General features: G+C 42.6%; 1 protein-coding gene and 1 long non-coding RNA gene across 4 annotated transcripts in view; both read left to right on the top strand.

Moving 5' to 3' along the window:
- The window catches only part of LINC00473 (long intergenic non-protein coding RNA 473), a 63,992-nt gene extending 48,734 nt beyond the window's left edge, over positions 1–15,258 (top strand). Inside the window, exon 2 of the long non-coding RNA NR_026861.1 lies at positions 14,647–15,258. This is a non-coding gene — a long non-coding RNA (long intergenic non-protein coding RNA 473). The remainder of the gene's footprint in view (positions 1–14,646) is intronic.
- The window catches only part of PDE10A (phosphodiesterase 10A), a 660,764-nt gene that overhangs the window by 48,747 nt on the left and 590,735 nt on the right, over positions 1–21,282 (top strand). The gene's annotated exons all lie outside the window — the stretch shown is intronic.

Raw genomic sequence — 21,282 nt, 5'->3', positions numbered from 1 at the left:
GACTTGCACACATGCAGGTGCCCCTCGCCCTATACAATTTCACCATCTGCACTTGCTATCTGAACGCAAGAACAAGAGGTTTTGGAGAGAAAGGGATACTCGTTAACCTGTATGTGTACATAGCTTTTGGGTTATGGTTTGTCTTACAAAAGAAGGATATTATACATATTTCCTGTATCTTGGCTTAATCAATAGCACTTCCTAGAAATCTTACTGAGTCAACTGGTATATTCTAATTAATTCTTTGTGCTGGCTGCATAATATTCTGTGGTGTAGAGGTGTAGCAACACCATATTTTATTCAGCCATTCTCCTATTGATGGACACTTATGTTATTTCCAGTTTTTTGATGCTATAAACAGAGCTGCAATAAATATTGTTGCACATATGTCCACTTTACTAAAGATTTTATTTCTCCAAATAGAATTTTATTTCTAGTCTCCAAATAGAATTTTATTATCTACAATTTCATTTAAGCTGCCCTTCCACACACATATTAAGGTCATCGACCTGGTTATATGTAGTGCGTGTGTGTGTGTGTGTGTGTTGTTTTGTTTTTGTTTTATTTTTGATGTTGTTGCTCACTGGACTCTGAACACTACAGGACTTCTTTAAATCTATTTCTTGAGTAAGCACTTGACAAGTGCCCAGGGCCCCGTGTTTTAGAAGACATCAGCCAGGGCCTCCTCACTGAAGGAAGCCCCAGGTGCGTTTTTTGGGGTTCACATGGGAACCTGACTTGAATCCCAAGGATAAGGGCCCCGTTGTCCAGTGAGCACAGGGTCCCTTGGCGCCCTCAGTTGAAACTCATCCAAGATTAGTAACATTCCAGCCAAATTCTTGTTTTATTGCATGATTTCATTTAAAAATTGCATGTATAACATGGATAAGCTATAAACAGAATAGCCATTTTAATGAAAACAACAAGAGATATGAGTGGATGTTGCCTTTATTCTAGTTGGAGACAACCATATTTACACAACTTATTCAGAGATGCTCACAGTTGTCAATGGACTCCACGCTACAGCTTTGTGAAGCAGTGTTTGCTTCTGGTGACAGAGCTGCTCTGGTTGCCCACAAGCTGCTCTGTTGGTGACCTGTTTCACAAGGTTGTTTTACCTTGAGTTACTGCTGTGTTCACAGTTGTGCTTCGAGAATGCCAAAGCTCATTGCTCTGTTTGCAAAGCTGCTTGGCTTGCTGGGGAGAGTAAAATGCAATATATTTAGACCTTTGATACTGACAGTCCAGCTTTGGCTTCTGAAGTCTTTGTAGAGGAAAGGAAGTGGGAGAGATTGTCAGAGGACCCTCCTGTGATGTGGGGGTCTGTGCTGATATCTGGATTTTTTTTTAACATTTATTGTCAGGCTTCATACAGGGGGGACTGGTTTGCAGAGCCCTGAATTTAGGCTTTGACAGGTAAGAATCTCTGAAATGAACAAGACTAGTTTGGTTAGCATTTATTAGAAGGTCAGTTTGTAGGTCCTTAATTGTCTCCTGTTTATAGAACTGGATAATATCTGTGTGTGTATGTGTGTGTTTCGTGTTTAATTGTGATTTGCTGCTCTTGACAGGTTTTGTGAAACTGACAACAGCTCTTTCTCAGCCTGTTTTTCTCTAGTGGCCAAAATGTTCACTGTTAATTTATTCTGTTTACTCTTCATTCATTCAACAAATATTTATTCAGTCCTACTATGTGCCAAGTACTCTCTAGCCTATAAAGATGTCAAGACATGTACCAACTCTTCCAATAAATATTTCTAAGTTGTAAAAATATTAAGTGATATAAAAATAAGAAAGGTTCTATTAAGAACAGATTGCTTTTTTTAAATATGTAAGTTTATTTTGGATGCAATATGAGACTGAATTCCAATGCAAAGTTGTTTTAAGAGAATGCGAAAATCTCACCATTCACTGACTTAGGAGAAAAGTTACTCTGAGAATTAATAGAAGCTGAATAGAAGAAGATAGTTAAAATCTGTATGCTAGCTAATGTCTTCTTGTCTTGTACTTTGGGGGAAAAAAGTAAACAAAAGTCTTATTAAGTTTCAAGTAGGTGCCACATGAACCCTTCCATATTCAGGATTAGACAAGTGGCAATGGCACGTGGAGCTTGATGGCCAAGCCCAGTGGGTTACAGGGTTTGGCTTTCCTCCAGCCCTCAAGGGGTGTCTAAGACCTCTGGGATGCTACATAGGATGCATGCAGAACTGCCTGTTTTGGGGCAAAAAAATTGTCATGGTCACCCCTGAACTACATAGAGGAAGAACTTCGTCTCAGCGCAAGCAAATGGTCTTCCAAAATTTGTACAAACAAGTTCCCAACAATACAAGCTGCATTTAACCCTAAGCAAACCATACTCACAGCAAAGGTCTTATTCCACCTGCACATTCTTTCCAAAGCACAAATGCCCTTTCTCAGTTCAACCATGAAAGGACTGATGGGAGATGATCTTAGAAGAGTGGCGATGATTCACACTATTGGGTTAAAAAGAGAGAATATTGGGGAACAATGAGGCTCCCCAGTAAGTCTCTACTCATTCTCCATCAACGTTGGCTGCCTTTCTTTTGCCAACATGGTCAAATCTTGCTCCTACATTAAAATTTAAGAATCACCATCTTCCTGGGTTGTAATCACCTCTCTCTCCTTTCGTTTCACAGGCAAAATTCTCCTTGTCTCCCATTGTTTGCATTCATTCCCATTCCCACCACCCTGCCTGGCAGCTCCCCTCACCACACAATAGACACAGCCAGTGGTGGGGACACAGCTGTCTTCTGGTGCCAGATCTGGCTAACACATGGGTGTAGCATTTGACCCTCGTGACCATCTGTTCTTTCTTCTTCTTCCTTCTCAAAAATATTTCTTGGATTCCTTGACAACATTTTCTCCTGTTGTCTTTCTCTCTCTCTGCATTCATTATCTTACTTTATTTCTGCCGATCTTAAACGAGGGTGATATCCACATCCTTTCCTATCTGCTACTGCTTACTCCACATTCTCTCCATGGTTCATCACATTCCCTCCATGGTTCATCACATTCCTCCCTCTGGCATCAGTAAAATGGATTTCATATCTCCAGCTCAAATGTCACCAGTTCTGCATGAATACATCAGAGGCTCAGTGTACAAGGACTGCTCAAAACTGAACATGTTACCTCCTCTTTCTGATTCCTGCTCTTCCCCACTCCCTGACCCATCTGCTTCTTTCCCTCATTATTAAAGTTATTACCATCATCCAACTTTGATGAGTTTAAAATCTGGAATCCATCCGGAATTCTTCCTTATGTGCATCACCTACATCCAAATGACAATTGTCTTAGTTTGTTTTGTGCTGCTGTAACAAAATATCATAGACTTGGTGATTTATCAACAATAGAAATTATTTGGCTCACAGTTCTGGAGGCTGGGAAGTCCAAGAGCGAGGGGCTGTATCTTGTGAGAACCTTCTTGCTGTGTCATCCCATGGTGGAAGGCATCAGATAGCAAGAGCACAAAAGAGACAACAAGGGGGCAGAATTCATCCTTTTTCTCAGGACCCACTTCCAAAATCACTAACACACCCCTGATATAGTGGCATTAATCTATTCATAAGGGCAGAGCCCTCATGACCTAATCACCTCTTAAAGATTCTGCCTCTCAACACTGTTGCATTGGGATTTAAGTTTCCAGCACATGAACCCTACTTTTGTTCTCCCAGTGAATGTTCTCTCAAACATATCCACTCTCCTCCATTCCTGCTATCCTTGCCTTAATTTTAGTCCAGAATCATTTCTTGCCTGGGATTTTGCCCACGATTTCCCTCTTCCTTAGAAATCGATCCTCCTCTCTACTTTCAAAATGTTTTTGAATTCAGATTTGATCCTGTCTTTCCCCTGGTTAAATCCTTTAGTGGCTTACCACTTGCTATAAGACAAAGTCAAGGTCCTCAGTGCCCTTTGTCATCTAGTGCCATCTCCTGTGCACAGACTTCCAGTTCTTTGATTATCTCTGTGCCTTTGCACACACATTTTCTTCCTTGGAATCACTTTGTCCTACTTCTATTTTTCTTTCCTACGCTATTTAGAGTCTTCTCATTCTTCAAAGAACCCAAAGATGGCCTCCTTTATAAGGTTTTCCACAGCTCTCTCTTGCTGATAGAGTCTGTTGTGCCTTTTCCTACGCAACCTCCTATGTATGTGGTGGGCTCTTTCCATACTGTATTACACTTGCTGGTTTACAAATCTATACCCAGCACTAGACTGTGAACTTCTTGGGGGAAGGAACTACGTCTGATAACTACATTCTTTGTAACTTCATGGAAGCAGTGCCTAACACTTAGGAATCTTTTTGAGCCCCAAATTTGCTATTTTTTTCACACACTTGGATATGTGTTCTTCGCATTAATAATGGAAATGATAGTGCCATTCCTGCCGACCTTACAGTTGACAGTTGACACTAAATGTGAGACTAAATGTGACAATGTGTATGAAAATGTTTCTCAAACTTACATTTGTATCTAAAAGCAAGATATTAGTAGTAGTAGTGTCATCCAATGTGGTGTAAACCACATTGGGAGCCCATCCATGGCATTGCAGAGAGTGGTGGGGTGGAACAAAAGCCACAGATGAAAATTTTGCCATCCTAAGAACTGGATAAGTATCTGGGAAAGCAGGATACTGGGTAGAGTATGCTTTCTTTGCTTTCAGTTAAGTCTTCATTTCAGTGACCACTTGTTTATGGTAGTTTAGAGGTGCCTGCAGTAAAGCAAGATATAATAAATGCAAAATTAATTTTTTTAATGGGGCTGAGGAAAATAAAGATTATAGAGAAAGATGGATCCAGAGGGTTTTTTTTTGTCACTAGTTTGAAAATTGGTGGTGGTGGTGTAGACAAGTTGAAGGATGAAGCCAAAATTTCAGGCAAAATATCAGATTCAAACTCAAGGCAATGACTATTCTATATTTGCCATTTTGGTGCAGCTAAAGATCTCTGGGGAGTAAAGTGATGACAAATCTTCAAAACAGGTGATTGAGGCTGGGCGCAGTGGCTCACACCTGTAATCTCAGCACTTTGGGAGGCCAAGATTGGCGGATCACTTGAGGTCAGGAGCTCAAGACCAGGCTGGCCAACATGGTAAAACCCCATCTCCACTAAAAGTACAAAAAAAAAAAAAAAAAAAGATCAGCCAGGCATGGTGGTGCATGCCTGTAATCCCAGCTACTCGAGAGGCTGAGGCAGGAGAATTGCTTGAACCTGGGAAGCGGAGGTTGCAGTGAGCCGAGATGGCACCAGTACACTCAGCCTGGGCATCGCAGTGAGACTCCGACTAAAAAAAAAAAAAAAGGGAATTGATGCTTCAAAATGAAAAATTGCAAACTGGAGCTGTGCTTTTGTCCCAGAATTTATGTTCACAAACCCCTCTTGCTGTGCTGTGCCTGTGGTTGGCCCCAAGGTGCCCATCAAAGCAGCCGTTTTGGTTCTGACCTGCTCCCGGCTACACTTGGAAGGTAGCCTGAGATGTCTCCCTGTATGTTTCCTTATTCCAGAATGTTGTGTTACATTTTTGTTGTGTATAAATTTCTTTTCCTGTACAAATGCTAGCCTAAAAATCCTGTACCAAAAGATGTGTATATTCTATGAAACTTGGGCTGTAAAAACCCAGAAGCACTCTGCTGACAATTCTTTAACCAGGGAGAGTTTCCTCAGGGGGAATGCCTTTCATTATGTATATTTGAAAATGAATTTTCAGGTCTCTGCTTCCCATGTGAATTTGTATAAATTTATGTAAAAAATGAGAAGCAATGCTTTTTTAATTTTTCCCTTAGAAGTGGGCATATATTTTTTAGGGCATAATATAAAAGATCGACTGGCTTGAGTTCATTTGTCCTCAGCAAGTCTAAAATGAGACAAACTAGAATTGCCTGGTAATATCCAAATTTATTAATGAATGGACGTGTGCTATGCTAGCTACCAGGCAAGGTGCTTAAAAAGAGAAGTAGGTTTTAGTTTCTCTCTCCTGTGGGTCCATCAAGCTTTTCTCAGCCAATTCTCTTCCCTCTCTGGAAACTGCGATGTTTCACCTTCTCCTCCTTGCCTGGTGCCCACTGACAACATAGGGACTGTTTCGGGTCTTCTCATGTCTAGACACCCTGTAAAGCCATTTTTCCTTCATCTGCTGCCCAACCACACAGGTAGAGGGGACTTTACCACAAGACTTGCTGCCTCCTGTGTGCTCCCCAAGGAAGACTCCTAATGTCTTCATATCCACAAACCTGGGGAGGGGTTTGTCATCTCTGGTAGCCTCCCCAGACCAGGAATCAACCCAGGGGAGAGGCCTCTCTCAGGAGCCCACTGCTGCCTGGCTCTCTCCCTCCTCTTTGGTCCTGCCTCTTCCCCAGCCCTGGGTGAACTCTGCCTGGTCTCCTTGGAGGGGTTGTGGAGGGGAATGCCTGGAGCAGGGCAACCTGCTATCCACCAGCTCTTGCACCAACTTCCTGAGTCTTTAAAGGCTAAGCCCCCCGGAAACTCATAACCAGTTATCCCTCAAAAAGTTCAGCTCAGGCCGGGTGTGGTGGCTCATGCCTGTAATCCCAGCACTTTGGGAGGCTGATGCGGGCAGATCACCTGAGGTCAGTAGTTTGAGACCAGCCTGACCAACATGGTGAAACACCGTCTCTACTAAAAATACAAAAATTAGGCTGGGTGCGGTGGCTCATGCCTGTAATTTCAGAACTTTGGGAGGCTGAGGCAGGGGGATCACTTGAGGTCAGGAGTTCGAGACCAGCCTGACCAATATGGTGAAACCCTGTCTTTACTAAAAATACAAAAATTAGCTAGGCATGGTGGTGCATGGCTGTAATCCCAGCTACTTGGGAGGCTGAGACAGGAGAATCGCTTGAACTCAGGAGGCGGAGGTTGCAGTGAGCTGTGATTGTACCATTACACTCCAGCCTGGGCAATGAGAGCAAAACTTCATCTTGAAAAAAAAAAATCTAGCTCTCACATGTCAAAAACTTTGGCTGTCCACACTATTATTCTGTTCCAACTTTTAAGAACGCAGATAAAAAATGTAACAAAGTTAAAAAGCCTTATTAACCTCAAGACTTGATGCCGGTGCCATTCCTAGACTGGTATTTCTCATGAGTCTCCACCAAAGACAGAGGGCAGGAAGATCTGGACTTCTTGGGCTGAGCCATGCTTTGAGGACCTCTTCAGCGGGCGGTATATCGTCCCCTGTGTGGAGCTGCATTTCCTGGGACCGGCACTAGCTTGATGGTTTCTGCTTTTGTGACCGTTCACCCGCACTTGCCAAGGCTGTGCTGTGCCTCCACTCACCTGCCTCGTGAGGGGACTCTGACCTTTCTGTCATCTGCCACATGCCACTGATGAGAGCCGCAGGGTGTGGCCTCCTGGTGGTCCAGCTCAACCTCTGTTCTGTCTCATTCCTGCTTCTCAACAACCTCCTGGAGCTTTTTCCTCTGGGTGTAGCAGGAGGGCGCCACACACTGGATCACAGCCACGCTTTGGAAGGAGGAGAAGTGACTGTCGGGAGACAGCCCCTAGGAGAGCTGGGTCTTTGTTTTATTTTGTTTCTTTACAATACAGCCATTTCATGTAGAACCTTTTCCACATAGACCTTGGCTTCTCCCCGAGGTATGAGACAAGGAATACAAATATCAGATGCGACTCTGGAGGGCTGCAAGGAACTGGTGCTGCCCATAGAAAAGCATTTCAAAACCTTAAACACCTGCACTATTTCTCCCACCTTCTTTCATGTTCACATCTGCAAATAATAGGCACTCAATACAATTTTATGGCAAACCACAGAATTAGTTCTGCCTCGAATCCTTTGTGGAATGAAGTGTGAGTATAGGACAAGTGTGCAAACAAGCACAAATATCAGGGTCCATTCACTCTGCTGCAGTCCATGGCCCCTTTATTCCTTTTCGTCTTTCAATAAATACGTGTTGAACACCTATTATATGCCAGTTACTATTGTAGACAGATGTGGTATCTATTCTTGTGAACAGACACTGAGGAGGTACATGAATAAATAGGATGTCAAATAATAATGACTGCAGCCAAGGAACAGAGCAAGGTGCTCATGAGTGCCAGTCAGAGCTGCTTCCCTAGCTAGGCTGGCAAGAAAGACTCCTGAAGTGGTCGCACTTGAGCAGAGGCCTGAAGAATGGAAGGAGACCACCATGGGAAAGTGGATGGAAGAGGAGATGAACCAATCATTTTCTACAATCAAGTCATATTTGAAATGCGCGAGGTCCCCATCTGATATCGCAGAGGTGCAGGGGCATGAGAAGGTTCCTAACAGGCATCGTCAATGCTCCATGCTGTCTCACCATATTTCACGGGGCTGGCTCGTTCTCCTTGCGGTTCCCTCAGTTTCATCAGCACCACGGTGGCTTCCCATGTTCCAGGCTGCGCCAGGCTGAAATGCCAGTTCCTGATCCTGCGAAGAGCCACGGTGAAGCTCCCCTCGTGTCAGTGAGCCGGGAGCCTTCCCCGCAGCTCCAGCCCTCACAGCCTCGGCCCTCGTTAACATGGGCAATTAAAGTGCTCAGGATTTTTCACTTGAAATGTTCCGAATGCAAGTAAGTTGCTTTATGGAAGAATAGGAATCTGTTTCTTTCTGCCACTTCCTTCCATGCACAGCCAGCGTTTTCATCAGCGGCCTTTGGGCAAGGCGTGCACGGCATGGGCTTATTGGAATACTGATGAAGGCAGACCCTGAGTATCTTTTGAAGAAAACAAAACTGAAGGAAAAAGTATGACTTGTGAAACTCGAAGCAACTCTGTGGACTGTGAATTCAGCAGGGAAACAACACATTGTTAATTTTCTCTCCTTATTTCTCTGTTTTCTTCCCTGATCCAGTTGGTCATGTCCATAGACCCAAAGAACGCATGCAAAGGAAGGAAATTCAAGTGTTTCCTTCCTGCCTGCTGGGTGGCCACCCACACCCTCTCTCTTCTCTTGGGCCACTTGTCCCTAACTTCTTTTCTTCATGAAGATCCTTGGCAGCTCCATGGAGGTGAAAAGGGCTATGAATGCTCTTCTTCCTCATAACTCTCTAGGCTTCCTGGTGAACATGGAGAAGAAACCATTTTCTTCATTCATCAGTGGCTCAGGGATCTGTGAACCTTCCCACCTGCCACCCTCATGCCTGGAGTGATATGTGCCTGGTCATTAGGGAGCACTCTTTTCCCAGCTGCCACCCTCATTTCTGGAGTGATATGTGCCTGGTCATTAGGGAGCACTCTTTTCCCAGCTGCCACCCTCATTTCTGGAGTGATATGTGCCTGGTCATTAGGGAGCACTCTCTTCCCACCTGCCGCCTTCACGCCTGGAGTGATGTTGCCTGGTCATTAGGGAGCACTCTTTTCCCACCTGCCACCCTCACACCTGGAGTGATATGTGCCCGGTCATTAGGGAGCACTCTCTTCCCACCTGCTGCCCTCACGCCTGGAGTGATGTTGCCTGGTCATTAGGGAGCACACTCTTCCCACCTGGGTGACAGCAGCTCTGAGCCAGCCCGGTGCTAGGTGATGGGCAACTGCAGTGCCCATGCCACAGGCTGGGTCAGATTTTCTTGTGGGGACGCGGTCATGGGGATGTTGCTAGGGACAGTGAAGTTGGCTGTGTTTATCCAAATCTGGTAGGAATGGATCCTTCTAAGAAAATATGCTTTCGACTTCATGATTTTCCAGCAGCACTGAAGGCCCTGCACACATGGGGCTGCTAGCTGGGGCATGGGACACATAGGGTGTCGCGGCATCCAGCCCCACACAGTGGTCACTCCGGGTCCCGTGGGCAGCCTGACCCAACCTAAGTGGTTGTAATGTTTCTGACGGCCTTCACAGCAATGTTGTATTATTCCATCACATGTATGGAACGTGTCCAGAATGCTGGGGCAAGAGAAATAATATTCCCTGCCTAGGTATCCACTCTGCTTTTCTCAGAAGCAAACAAACACATCTGAGGAGAGAAAAAGCACAACCCCATGTTTGATCCTTCCCCGTGTCCAGCCACTTCCTACACCATCCTCAAATCTGACCTGCACTCGAGGACTCCTGCGTGCTTTACAAGCATCTTGTTTTAGTTCTTTTGTTTTTCTGCACCAACCACGTCTTTACCAGTTTACCGAATGCCCGCCACATGTGAGGCTGTAGACTGAATTCATTTCTTGGTGAATGCTATTGTGTGCCTGGCCATGAGTTTTGTCCTCCAAACAGCCTTCTGTGCAGAAGGTCTCATTTTAGAGACGAGGAGTCAGAAGCTCCAAGAGGCTGATTCACTTGCCCAGGGACACACAGCTTCTGGGGGAAGAGCTCAGATAGAAAGGAGACCTGTATGGCTCTAACGTGCACCATGGTTTAGTTCTTCGTCTCTCATCCCAGCAAGACTGCACTAGAAACTTCTCAACCAAAGAATCCTATCTCATTTTCATTCATTTCCCTGAGTACATTTTGGGGACACACAGTGGAGTCGGGGCTGAGCAATTGCTTGTTGAGAAAAGATTGCATTCTTCTCTGAGCTCCTAGAGCCCACCATAGGTCCCAGCACTCAGGAGGCACTAAGTGATGTGTGCTGGGTTGAGAGGGGATGTGAGGGAGTGCTCCAGACGTCGGCCACCAGCAGCCGGGATGTTGGCACCACCAGGTTTCAAATATGAAGACAGCTTTGCCTTTTATTTCCTGTAGAGTGGATGCTTTCCAGGAAATGTCCCCCTTTTGCTCTGCCATGGTCTTTTGAGAACAAGCTATTTTGTCATTCCAGATGAATAGCAAGGTTGGAGGACCAGCTCAAGTCGAGCATGAGGGGCTGAGCAGCTCACACCCCATGCCTGGCGGTTAAACAGTGGGTGTCTGAGCACGTGCTGACCTGAGGGCTCCCTGGATCCTGGAGTGGGTCCAGCAGGTTGTGCAGAAACCACGTAAGACTGACTCTTCCCTCGGCCTCATGTGGGTTTCACGAACCCCCTTTTATTCTCATCCTCCAATCAATCTGCTCACAGTGCAAATAAGAATGATTCTTATGCAAGGTAACTTTAAGATCTCATCACCAACTCCAGGGAATACCTCTAAACAGGTACCTTTGAGGACGCCCATGCAGGACCCATGTTTTCCCCCTTTTTACCTACTTCTGAGTGTGATGAAGCTAGGGCTTTAACATACTTACTTTAAATGTATATAGTGTATACATAGTGTTTATATAATTATGTATAAATATTACATATAAATATTAAATATGTTTAATTACATATAAATAGTACATATTAAATTATATATAAAAGAACATAATTTAAAAATTTATGTCATTCTCAGCCTGGCGTGGTGGCTCACGCCTGTAATCCCATCACTTTGGGAGGCGAGGGTGCGCAGATCACTTAAGGTTAGGAGTTAGAGACCAGCCTGGCCAATATGGTGAAACCCCGTCTCTACTAAAAATTTAAAAATTAGCTGGGCATGGTGGCGCACACCTATAGTCCCAGATACTTGGGGGGCTTAGGCAGGAGAATTGCTTCAACCCAAGAGGTGGAGGTTACAGTGAGCCGAGATGGTGCCACTGCACTCCAGCCTGGGCAACAGAGAGAGACTCCTCTGTCTCAAACACAAACAAACAAACAAACAAACAAAAAACTATATATATATATATATATATATATATATATGTCATTCTCATGTTAATAATATTCATGAAAGAAAAACGAGAAAAAAAAGACATATAAGCAAGAGAAAATACAAGACTTTCCCAATCCTACCCACAGACCAACACATAAAATACCTTTGCGTATATTCTTCAAACTTTCTGCATAGTCATTTATACATTTATATTATTTCCATAAATCATGTTCAGTTGTTAAAAAACTGCCTTTTAAAAATCTTACTGTATTGTGATTATCTTTCCATATCAATAAAATAGTTTTATATGATCATTCTGATATATAATTGTAAATAATTTAACCAATCTGTTGTTGGCTTTTAGGCTGTTTCTAACAGCAGTGTAACTAATATCCTTATGGCTAAATCCTGAAAGCCATACTTCACTATTTTCTTAGGATGAATTCCAGGTAGTTTAAGGACTAGCATGTGCTTTTTTTAAGTTATACTTTACGTTCTGGCGTACATGTGCAAGACGTGCAGGTTTGTTACATAGGCCATGGTGGTTTGCTGCATGCATCAACCTGTCATCTACCTTAGGTATTTCTCCTAATGCTATCCCTCCCCTAGCCCCCCACCCCCCAACAGGCCCCAGTGTGTGATGTTACCCTCCCTGTGTCCATGTGTATTCATTGTTCAACTCCCACTTATAAGTGAGAACATAGCATGTGCTTTTTAATGAATCTTAACATGCTTCCATAAGTTTGTTTCTATAGTAAGTAAACTCCAATCAACCCCTCTCCCACACAGCCCAAGTCTTTTAAATGCAACTGCAAAATCTATAGAAATGCAACATATTTCCATTAGAAAATGAAATCCTTTTTGATGTAAAGTACAACATCTTCATTATAAAACAGAATTACCTTCAGTAGCTCTGAGGCTTAAAGATCTTTGCAGTGACCCAGGAAGTCATCCAAGGATAGTGGAGCCCAGCCTGTCTGACACGTCTTTGATGCTGAGCATTGGGTGGGATTGGGTGGAAAGTCTGATTTTTCTCGGGTTGGATGCTGTGCTCTAATTGCCAGTGGCTGGAAGCCTGGCTTGTTTTTCTCTTCCTGTCATCCAGTGCAGGGACACACAGGGAGAGTGTGAACATAGGGTGTGTCCAATCTAACCGTTAGGGTTTCCAAATTAACTGTAAACTCTAAGTCTTTAAAGGTCAATCGAACATTTTGTTCTTTTGTTTGACTTTTCCATTTAAAATAGAACTTTTGCCTCTGAGAATTTAGACATGGACACAAATACTATGGAAAAAGCCAAAATAGGAGAGGTTTCTCAACACTAAAGGAGACATACATATTTAGTTTCAGATTAATTGGCTAAAGGGTGTTTGTTGCCAGGTAAGAAGGGATGGTTTACAGCTCCAAGCAAGGATGGATGGCTTCTTACTAGAACTGGCTTTATCAGTGAACATCTCAGGTCCTGCCTTGGCTTGGGGCCTCACCTGCAGAAGAAATCAAAGATGGCACCATCAGCCACTATTGCTGGTACTTCATTCACCTCACCTTGCCAGGGTTGCTCCAGGCAGAAAACAGCTGGAAAACTGGGGTCCCAGAGACAGAAACAAGTACACTGCATATTTTCTGTTGAATAAGATTTTTTAAACTTTTATTTTAAGAAAATTGAAGATTTTTATGCAATTGTAAAAAATAATACAGAGCCTCATATACCCTTCTTGCAGTTCCCCCCAATGGCAGCATCCTGTGTAACTACAGTCTGCTATGGTAATCAACATATTGGCATTGATAAAATCCATCCACCATATTCAGATTTCCCAAATGTTTCTTGCACTCATTTGTGTGTATTTAGTTCTATGTGGTCTTATCAGACGTGAAGCATTGTTTGACCACCACTGGCATAGTCAATATAAACACAATTCTATCACTAGTCTCCATCCTGCTGACCTCAAACAGCCACAGCCAATGCTTTTATCTCCCATCATGATCCTCTGACAACCACTAATCTGTTTTTTAGTTCTCCCTCTCAATAGTTTGTTATTTCAAGAATGTTATTGAAATGATCATATACTATGTAGTCTTTTGAGATTTGCTTTCTGTACTCCACATAATTCACTGGAGAGTAATCCAAGTTGTGTGTTTGTCACTGAGTACTATTTAATGGTGTGGACATACCAGTTTGTTTAGCCATTCACCCATTGAAAGATATTTGGGTTATTTCCAGTGTTTTTTTATTATTACAAGAAATGCTGCTATGAACATTTGTGTACAGGTTTCTGTGTAAACATAAGCCTTTATTTCTCTGGCATAGCTGTTCAGGGGTGGAATTACTGAGTCTTAGGGTAAGTGCATGGTTTGCTTCGTAAGAAACTATTTTCCAGAGTGGCTGTATCATTTTACATTCCCACCAGCAATGTACGAGTGATCTAGTTTCTCTTCACCCCACCACCATTTGGTGTTATTGCTAGTGTTTTTTATTTTTTGTATTGTGACAGGTGTATAGTGATATCTCATTGAGGCTTTAATCTGCATTTTCTAATGGCAGATGGTGTTAAAATTCTTCTCATGTGCTTATTTGTCATTTGTCCTCTTCAACAAAGCAGCTGTTTATGTCTTCGGCCCATTTCATTTTTCCTATTAAATTTTGAGAATTCATTATAGGTTCTAGATTCAAGACCTTGGCGGACATGAGGTGTGCCAACATTTCCCCTCAGTCTGTAGCTTGCCTTTTCAATCTCTTCAGAGACTCTTGCACAGCACATGTGTCTAATTTTGATGCGGTCCAGCTTATCAATTTTCTCTTTAATGACTCATGCCTTTGGTGTCCAATCTAAGAACTGTGCCTGGCCCTAGGTCCCAAAGATCTTCTCCTATGCTTACTTTTAAATGTTTTCTAATAACTTTTATGTTTTACATTTAAGTTTGTGATCCATTTTGGGTTAATTTCCATATAAGGTCTGAGGATTTGGTTGAGGTCCTTTTTGCATAAGGATGCTTGGATAGGATTTTTGTTTCAGGGGAATCTTTGCCTCTTTACTACAGGATGCTGGCCCACCACTAGTATTCTCTGGTGCTCGTTGTGCTTTGGGAGATCTTCTATGCAACATGGAAACCATGAATTGTACCACAGAGGGAGATCTTCTGTCCCACTAGGAAACTGCGAATTGTACCACAGAGGGAGATCTTCTATGCAACATGGAGACCATGAATGGTACACACAGAGAGAGATCTTCTATCCACATGGACACCATGAATTGTACCACAGAGGCAGATGTTCTATCCAACATGGAAACCATGAACTGTACACACAGAGGGGGATATTCCATCCAACATAGGAACCATGAACTGTACACACAGAGGGAGATCTTCTATCCAACATGGAGACCATGAATTTTACCACAAAGGAAGATGTTCTATCCAAAATGGAAACCATGAGTTGTATGCCTAGAGGGAGATCTTCTATCCAATATGTAAGCCACGAGTTGGACACACAGAGAGAGATATTTTATCCAACTTGGAAACCATGAATTGTACACACAGAGAGATCTTCTATCCAACACGGAAACAACGAGTTATACCCACAGGGGGAGATCTTCTATCCAATTCAGGTGTTCCTTATGTGATAGCATACTCTGCATCTACAACTAGCTAAAGTTTCGTGATGTCATTATTGTTATTGTTGTTGTAGAGGTGAGGTCTTGCTATGTTGCCCAGGCTGGTCTTGAATCCCTGGCCTCCAGCAATCCTCCTGCCTTTGTTTCCCAATGTGTTGGGATTACAGGCAAAAGCTGGTCTTATTCTTTCTAAAGCTGAAGTTTGAGAAGTAAAAATCACTTTCAAGGGTAGAATGCATTTTATATTTTCTCTGAAAAATGAATTGGCACAAATGTCCAGTTAAATTTGTGCAATTTTCTTTAAAAAAAAAAACACAGTTAATTTTTAAAGTGGTGATAGTTATATACTCGGAGTATAATCCCAAATTGTATAACTGTTTCCTGAGCCTCTTCCCATGTTCATTGAGATAATTTTGTAAAAGCATCCTAACCAGCAATGGGTCCTCTTGTTAAGAAGGCTGCCAGTGCAAACTCTCTTTATGAAGGACTCACATGCTCTGACTGTTCCGTCACCTCCCAACCACAGCCAGGAGCCTTCTCTGGCTGCCACAGAACTAAGGAGGGGGCACTGCTGCAGCCCAGCCTGTCTTCGCATTGTTTAGGGCCCTGTCCCAAAATATTGGTGAGCCAATGTATCTACATATCGACGGTGCTGTCAATGGTACACGTATCTCTCTAGTAGGACTTTGCCACCTGCCACGATGTGGTCACTGCTCTGAACACCTGGAATAGGCCTTGTTCTTTTTCTAGTAGACATGCACAGAGTTTTGTCTTAAGAAATTGTCTGTACTTTGAAAGTCTATTTCCCAGGGATAATTATGCTTAACATTGGTCAGTAACTATATTGATAAAAGCAAGCCCTTTGCTTTTGTAATACTTTTGTCTAACCATGTAAAAAGACACATCGTGTTTGTGACTTCCTAATTAGGAGCGAAGGCCATTTTTGTTTGCATTGTTCATCTCTGCTCCCATCTCACCAAGCTTTAGCAAAGCATCTTGGTTTCCTTTCTCCATCTTAGAGTGCTTTGTTAATAGTACCCATTACAGTGGGCTAGGGTGTTTTCCTATTTTGTTGTCTGGAAGGTGTCTACTTTGACCTACTTTAATCTCAGGGCTTGGAGGTAAAGTCATCCTCTGTGTAGACTTTGGGATTAGCTGGGATCCTTGTTTCACAATGCAGACTCATGGAGGGGAGTGAACCCCCGGAAGGTGGCTTAGGCTCTCTTTGCATGCAACCCTGACAGAACCCTTTTCTTAGCCAGTCAGTGGACTCAACCGAATGTTTCCAAGATTGAGAAAACAGTTGTGAGCAGATCTATCTGCAAATGGACAGCACTACCCACGGGGCACTTTTCTTTCCGAATCTGACTCACGTGTGGAGCTCATGGGAGTGGTCTGGGTTACTTAAGGTTAACCTTTACATTCTCATAAACTCCCACATGATTTCTCAGAATGCCACCCTGAGGAGTTTTGCTATTATTAAAAAAGGGGGTCATTGTTTGACCAGTTGTAGAGCAAACAGATTGTCCCAGATTTTTTGAAAAAAGGAAATGAGTCATTTTCCATATGAATATCTCAACTATCAAAATATTAAACATCCCTTTGTTTACTGTTTCGCTTCTTAACTTTCAGACATGTAACCTCAGCCAAGTAGCACCAGCAAGAGCCATCTGCCGCATACCTCAGCTGTGCTTGTACCACTTTGTGTAAGAGGAGCGGACAGCAGGGGAAGGTCTGGCTTTGATGGGGTGACCCTGCCCACTCATTAGACTCTGTGTGCCGCCAAGTGGTTGGGCTTGGCCACAGGAGTCCTGCTGTCTTGGGGTACTCTGATGGCAATCAAGACCAAACTCACTCAATGATATTGGAAATTGTGCATTTTTTTCTTAATCTCAGCCTTCCCATCTCAGATGATGGAGATCCCATGCTTTCTGTTGCACTGCCCAAAAATCTTGAGGTTGTCTTTGACTGCTTTCTCTCACATGCAATATCTGATCTATTCAGAAAATCCTACTGGCCCTATAATCTTCAAGATATGTCTAGAATCTTCTCACATCTCACTATGTCCACATCTACCTAGCCTGGTTTATCCCACTGACCTCATGCACCCGGCTTGCTTCTCTCAACTGGCCCCTCAGCTTCTACCCTGCAGTCTAATCCCAGCAGCGGCAGGAGTGATCCATTCGTGACATTAGTTGGATTTCACTCCTCAGCTCAGAGCTCATCAGTGCTCCCTGTCTCTCTCAAAGGGAAAGCCAGTCTCTTTCAAGAGCCCACAAGACCCTACGTGGTGTAGCCCTGCCCTTCTGCACCCACTTTCTAAAATTCTCCCATGGGCTCACTGTGATGGCAGTGGGTTTCCATGCTCATGCTGGAATGCACCAAGCCCTCTCTCATCACAGGCCATTGCACAAGATCTCCCTTTGCTTGGAACAGCCTCTTTCCAGGTATCACTGCCTCACCCCTTTTGATCTGTGCCCAAATGTTACCCTTCTTCATAAGCTTAGCTGGCCCAGCCTGTGTAAATGTCAGCCTGTATCCCCAGCACTCCTGATCTTTCTTCTCCTGTTCTTTCATCCATGGCATGTATCATCTTCTAACACATCAAATGATTCTAAAATTTATGATGTCATTGTTTATTATCTGGCTTTACTCTCAGCCTCTAGAAAGTAAGTTCCACAAGGGCAGGGATGATTGTCATTTTTGTTCCCTGATATCCCTGCCTATGTATTTGATAAATATTTGCTGAATAAATAAACCACCACCTCCAACAAGAGCAGGTTGTTTTCTCTGTGCCCTTCAAACTGGCTATCTAAGATGCACATTCCTCCAAAGTGAAGTCTGTTTCTATGCAGTCTACCGGCAGCTGAAACCTAGTGACCCTGGCTTTGAACTCCCAGTTATTGGAGATAATCCAGAACACAGTCAGAGGTATGGCTGGCACTGGGGAAATTCGTAATCCCACGCTGCTTTGGTACATAGATCTGAAAGTCAGTAGGCGGGTCATTCAGCCCTTCCATCCCTCAACCAGCTCCTCCTATTTCCAGGGGATGGGTACACATCAAGAGGATGAGTCAAGACCTTTGGAGCCATGACAAAATGAGTCTTTGGAGTATTTTCACATTTTTGTGAGCACTTAAGATTCTTTCCTCCAAACAAATTTTGGAGGAGAGTGCTATTTGTGTCATAAGAATGAGTTTATTTAACTACTATTTATTATCTACTGTGGTTCAGGAACATATAATGGAGATACAGTGGTAGAAGATAAAATCCCTAACCCATGGAATATGGTCTAGTGTGTTATTCAGAGTGAAGCAAATAAATGAACAAACAAATAATAGCATTTCAGAAAAAAAATAGAAAGATTGAAGTAGAAAGATACCAGGGAGGTGTGGGCACAGAAAGAAGCAGTGAAAACATCACAATTTTCTTATTAATTTCAAAATAGAAGAGTTAAGTATGGCTCATTGCTGACTTTTATATTTGTCCTGAAATGTATAGTAAGCAGGTATGTGTAAGTGTGTGTGTGTGTGTGTGTGTGTGTAAGCCCAGTCTTAGAAGATAAGCATCTTGATTGTCACTCAAAGTATTTATGCCACAGTATAAGACCAATGGTCTCATTCTTAAAGATAACTGGATCATTTTACTACAACCTATTTCTGTCTCCAGATTAACAAAGTGCTACTCATGTAGAAGATGATTGGTTTAAATTTTTGAAAGAAGGAGTAAGGGCAAGAACACCTGAGTGAAGGTAGATAAAGTGTAGTTTTGCAAAGTGGATAATACACTAAATGTATGCCCTTGATCATGGCATACATTTACTACATGGCATTACTACATGGCATTGTAGTTTTGATTAGGGGTCTGTAAAGAACCAGCAGAAATTTTTTAGTAATTATGGACCATACAGTTCTAACGTAAATACTCAGCTCTGCCATTGTAGAGCAAAAGCAACCACAGAAATATGTATCCAAAAAAATTTGTAACCAGATAAGTGTGGCTGCATTTAAATACAACTTTCTTTATAAAACAGGCAGCAAAGAAACAGTAGTTTGCTGACTAGAGTATTGCAGTGATTTAGGGTGACTAGAATATGTCTAACAATATGAAATGGCATAAGCCATACCAAAAAAAATCAGAGACTCTAAGGAATATGAAGGGTGGGCACCAGTGAGGTATCCTCATTAACAGAATGCACCTGAAAATTATCAAGAAGGGCACGTTCTGCTTCCGTCTGACTTCCACTGAGCTTTGTATTTGCTTTCATGTGCACAATAAAGTTCAGAGAAAGTTGGGAGGATCAGAATAAAGAGCAAATAAATAATTATAGCTCTTAAAACAGGACTGCGAAAGATAAGTTAGAATGGTTTGCTTGGGTTGGCAAACTCCAGACAGCAGGCCTATCCAGGCTGCAGCTTATTTCTGCACAGGCCACAAGCTCAGAATGTTTTTTATATGCTCAAAGGGCTGTAAATAGAAAAAGAAAGGAAAGGAGGAAGAGGAGGAAGAGCAAGAACAAGAAGGAGGATACAGCAGAGACTTTATGTGCCTTGTAAAGCCTAAATGTTTCACTACTCAGCCTTAACAGAAAAAGTTTGCTGACTCCAGGCTAGAAAGTGGAAAGATTGGGCTGATAGGAGAAACGTGGTCTGTGGAATACCAAGATCTTGCTATTAACTAAGCCACAAGGTTATCCCCTAGATGGAGGTGGGCCTGGGGCAGCTCAGCCATGAGTACATATGCTCATGGCATGTAGTGCCTTCATACCCAGTCCCCATGTGGTGGGCCCAGTGAGGTCACACAGAGCGCCCTGCCCCAAGAGACAGTGCATACATTCCTATTTTCGGTGGGTAGACATCATATTTGTAATGGGAAATGGTGACAGAACAAGGACCTGATGATCCACTTGCCATCTCGGAAGAATTCCGTGAAGGCATGAAACCGGCTTGGCTTGTTGACAAAGCCAAAAGGAAGGGAAAGATTGAGTAATTACATGGGTAAGTGTGGAAGATTCAGGACCTCCTTTATCTTCTCTATGTTTATTCAAGAATAGAATCAGCTTCTATGCTCTGACAATGTACTGAGTCTGTGGGTGCAAAGCCCTCTCCAGAAAAATGTAATTTGCATTTATGCTTTTGCCATTTGGTGAGAGCAGATTTCCCATCATCTGCCATTAAAAACAGTCCTCTGTAGCTCATCAACAGGTCGCAAACACATCTGCAAAGACAGTCTGAAAGTTTGTGTCATTCACTAGTAGTATTAACTTCCCAGGGGTCCACACTGACACCCCCGAGAGGAAGAGGGCTTCACCTACTCCTGCTCCAGAGGTGAAACCTGTGCAGGAGAAATGAGGTCCACTTGGGCAATTTTCTTGGAAATGTATTTCTAATATCTGAAAACATAGCCAAATTTGTTTGAAGAATGTCAACGAATGTGCTTTATGAGCTACTATAGGCACATATACAAAATGGCAATATCAAAATCTGTTTTTAAAAGGCAATAACTTAAGTACAAAAATCAGTTTGTCATTCAAGCAATTCTGTGAAAATAGTTGTAAATCTCAGTTGAACGATTGGCTGCTTAAATAATTATTGTTTGGAGAGAAGGATTTCCGGCACAACTTTACAATCATTTAAGTACCCATAGCATTAAATCTCAATTCAATATAAATTAAATGGTGGTTTACAGTATGTTCTGGTTTGAAAATAAGGCAACTATAATGTTAACTTTCTTTAAAGTCTGAAAACGTGTATTATATTTACATTACCCATATTTTCAAATACTGTTGATAGTTTCAGAATACACTCTGGAGAGGGAGGGCACATATGAAAATTCATTGTACTTTCCACTCAATTTTGCTGTGAACCTGGCTCTTAAAAAATAAAGTCTATTAAAACAAAACAAAACAAAAATACATCCATGTTTGCTGTAACCTACTAGAGAATTCTACACATGAGACCATTGCGGTTAAACAAATCCTACAGTTTCTAAATGAGATATCAAATTTACTCTCTATATTTTTTATACCACTCTGGAATTGTTGAGTTACAGAATTATTTTCCCT

Source organism: Homo sapiens, chromosome 6 (assembly GCF_000001405.40).
Source record: "Homo sapiens chromosome 6, GRCh38.p14 Primary Assembly".
Taxonomy (NCBI): Eukaryota; Metazoa; Chordata; class Mammalia; order Primates; family Hominidae; genus Homo; species Homo sapiens.
This window is presented reverse-complemented; position numbering and strand designations above follow the sequence as displayed.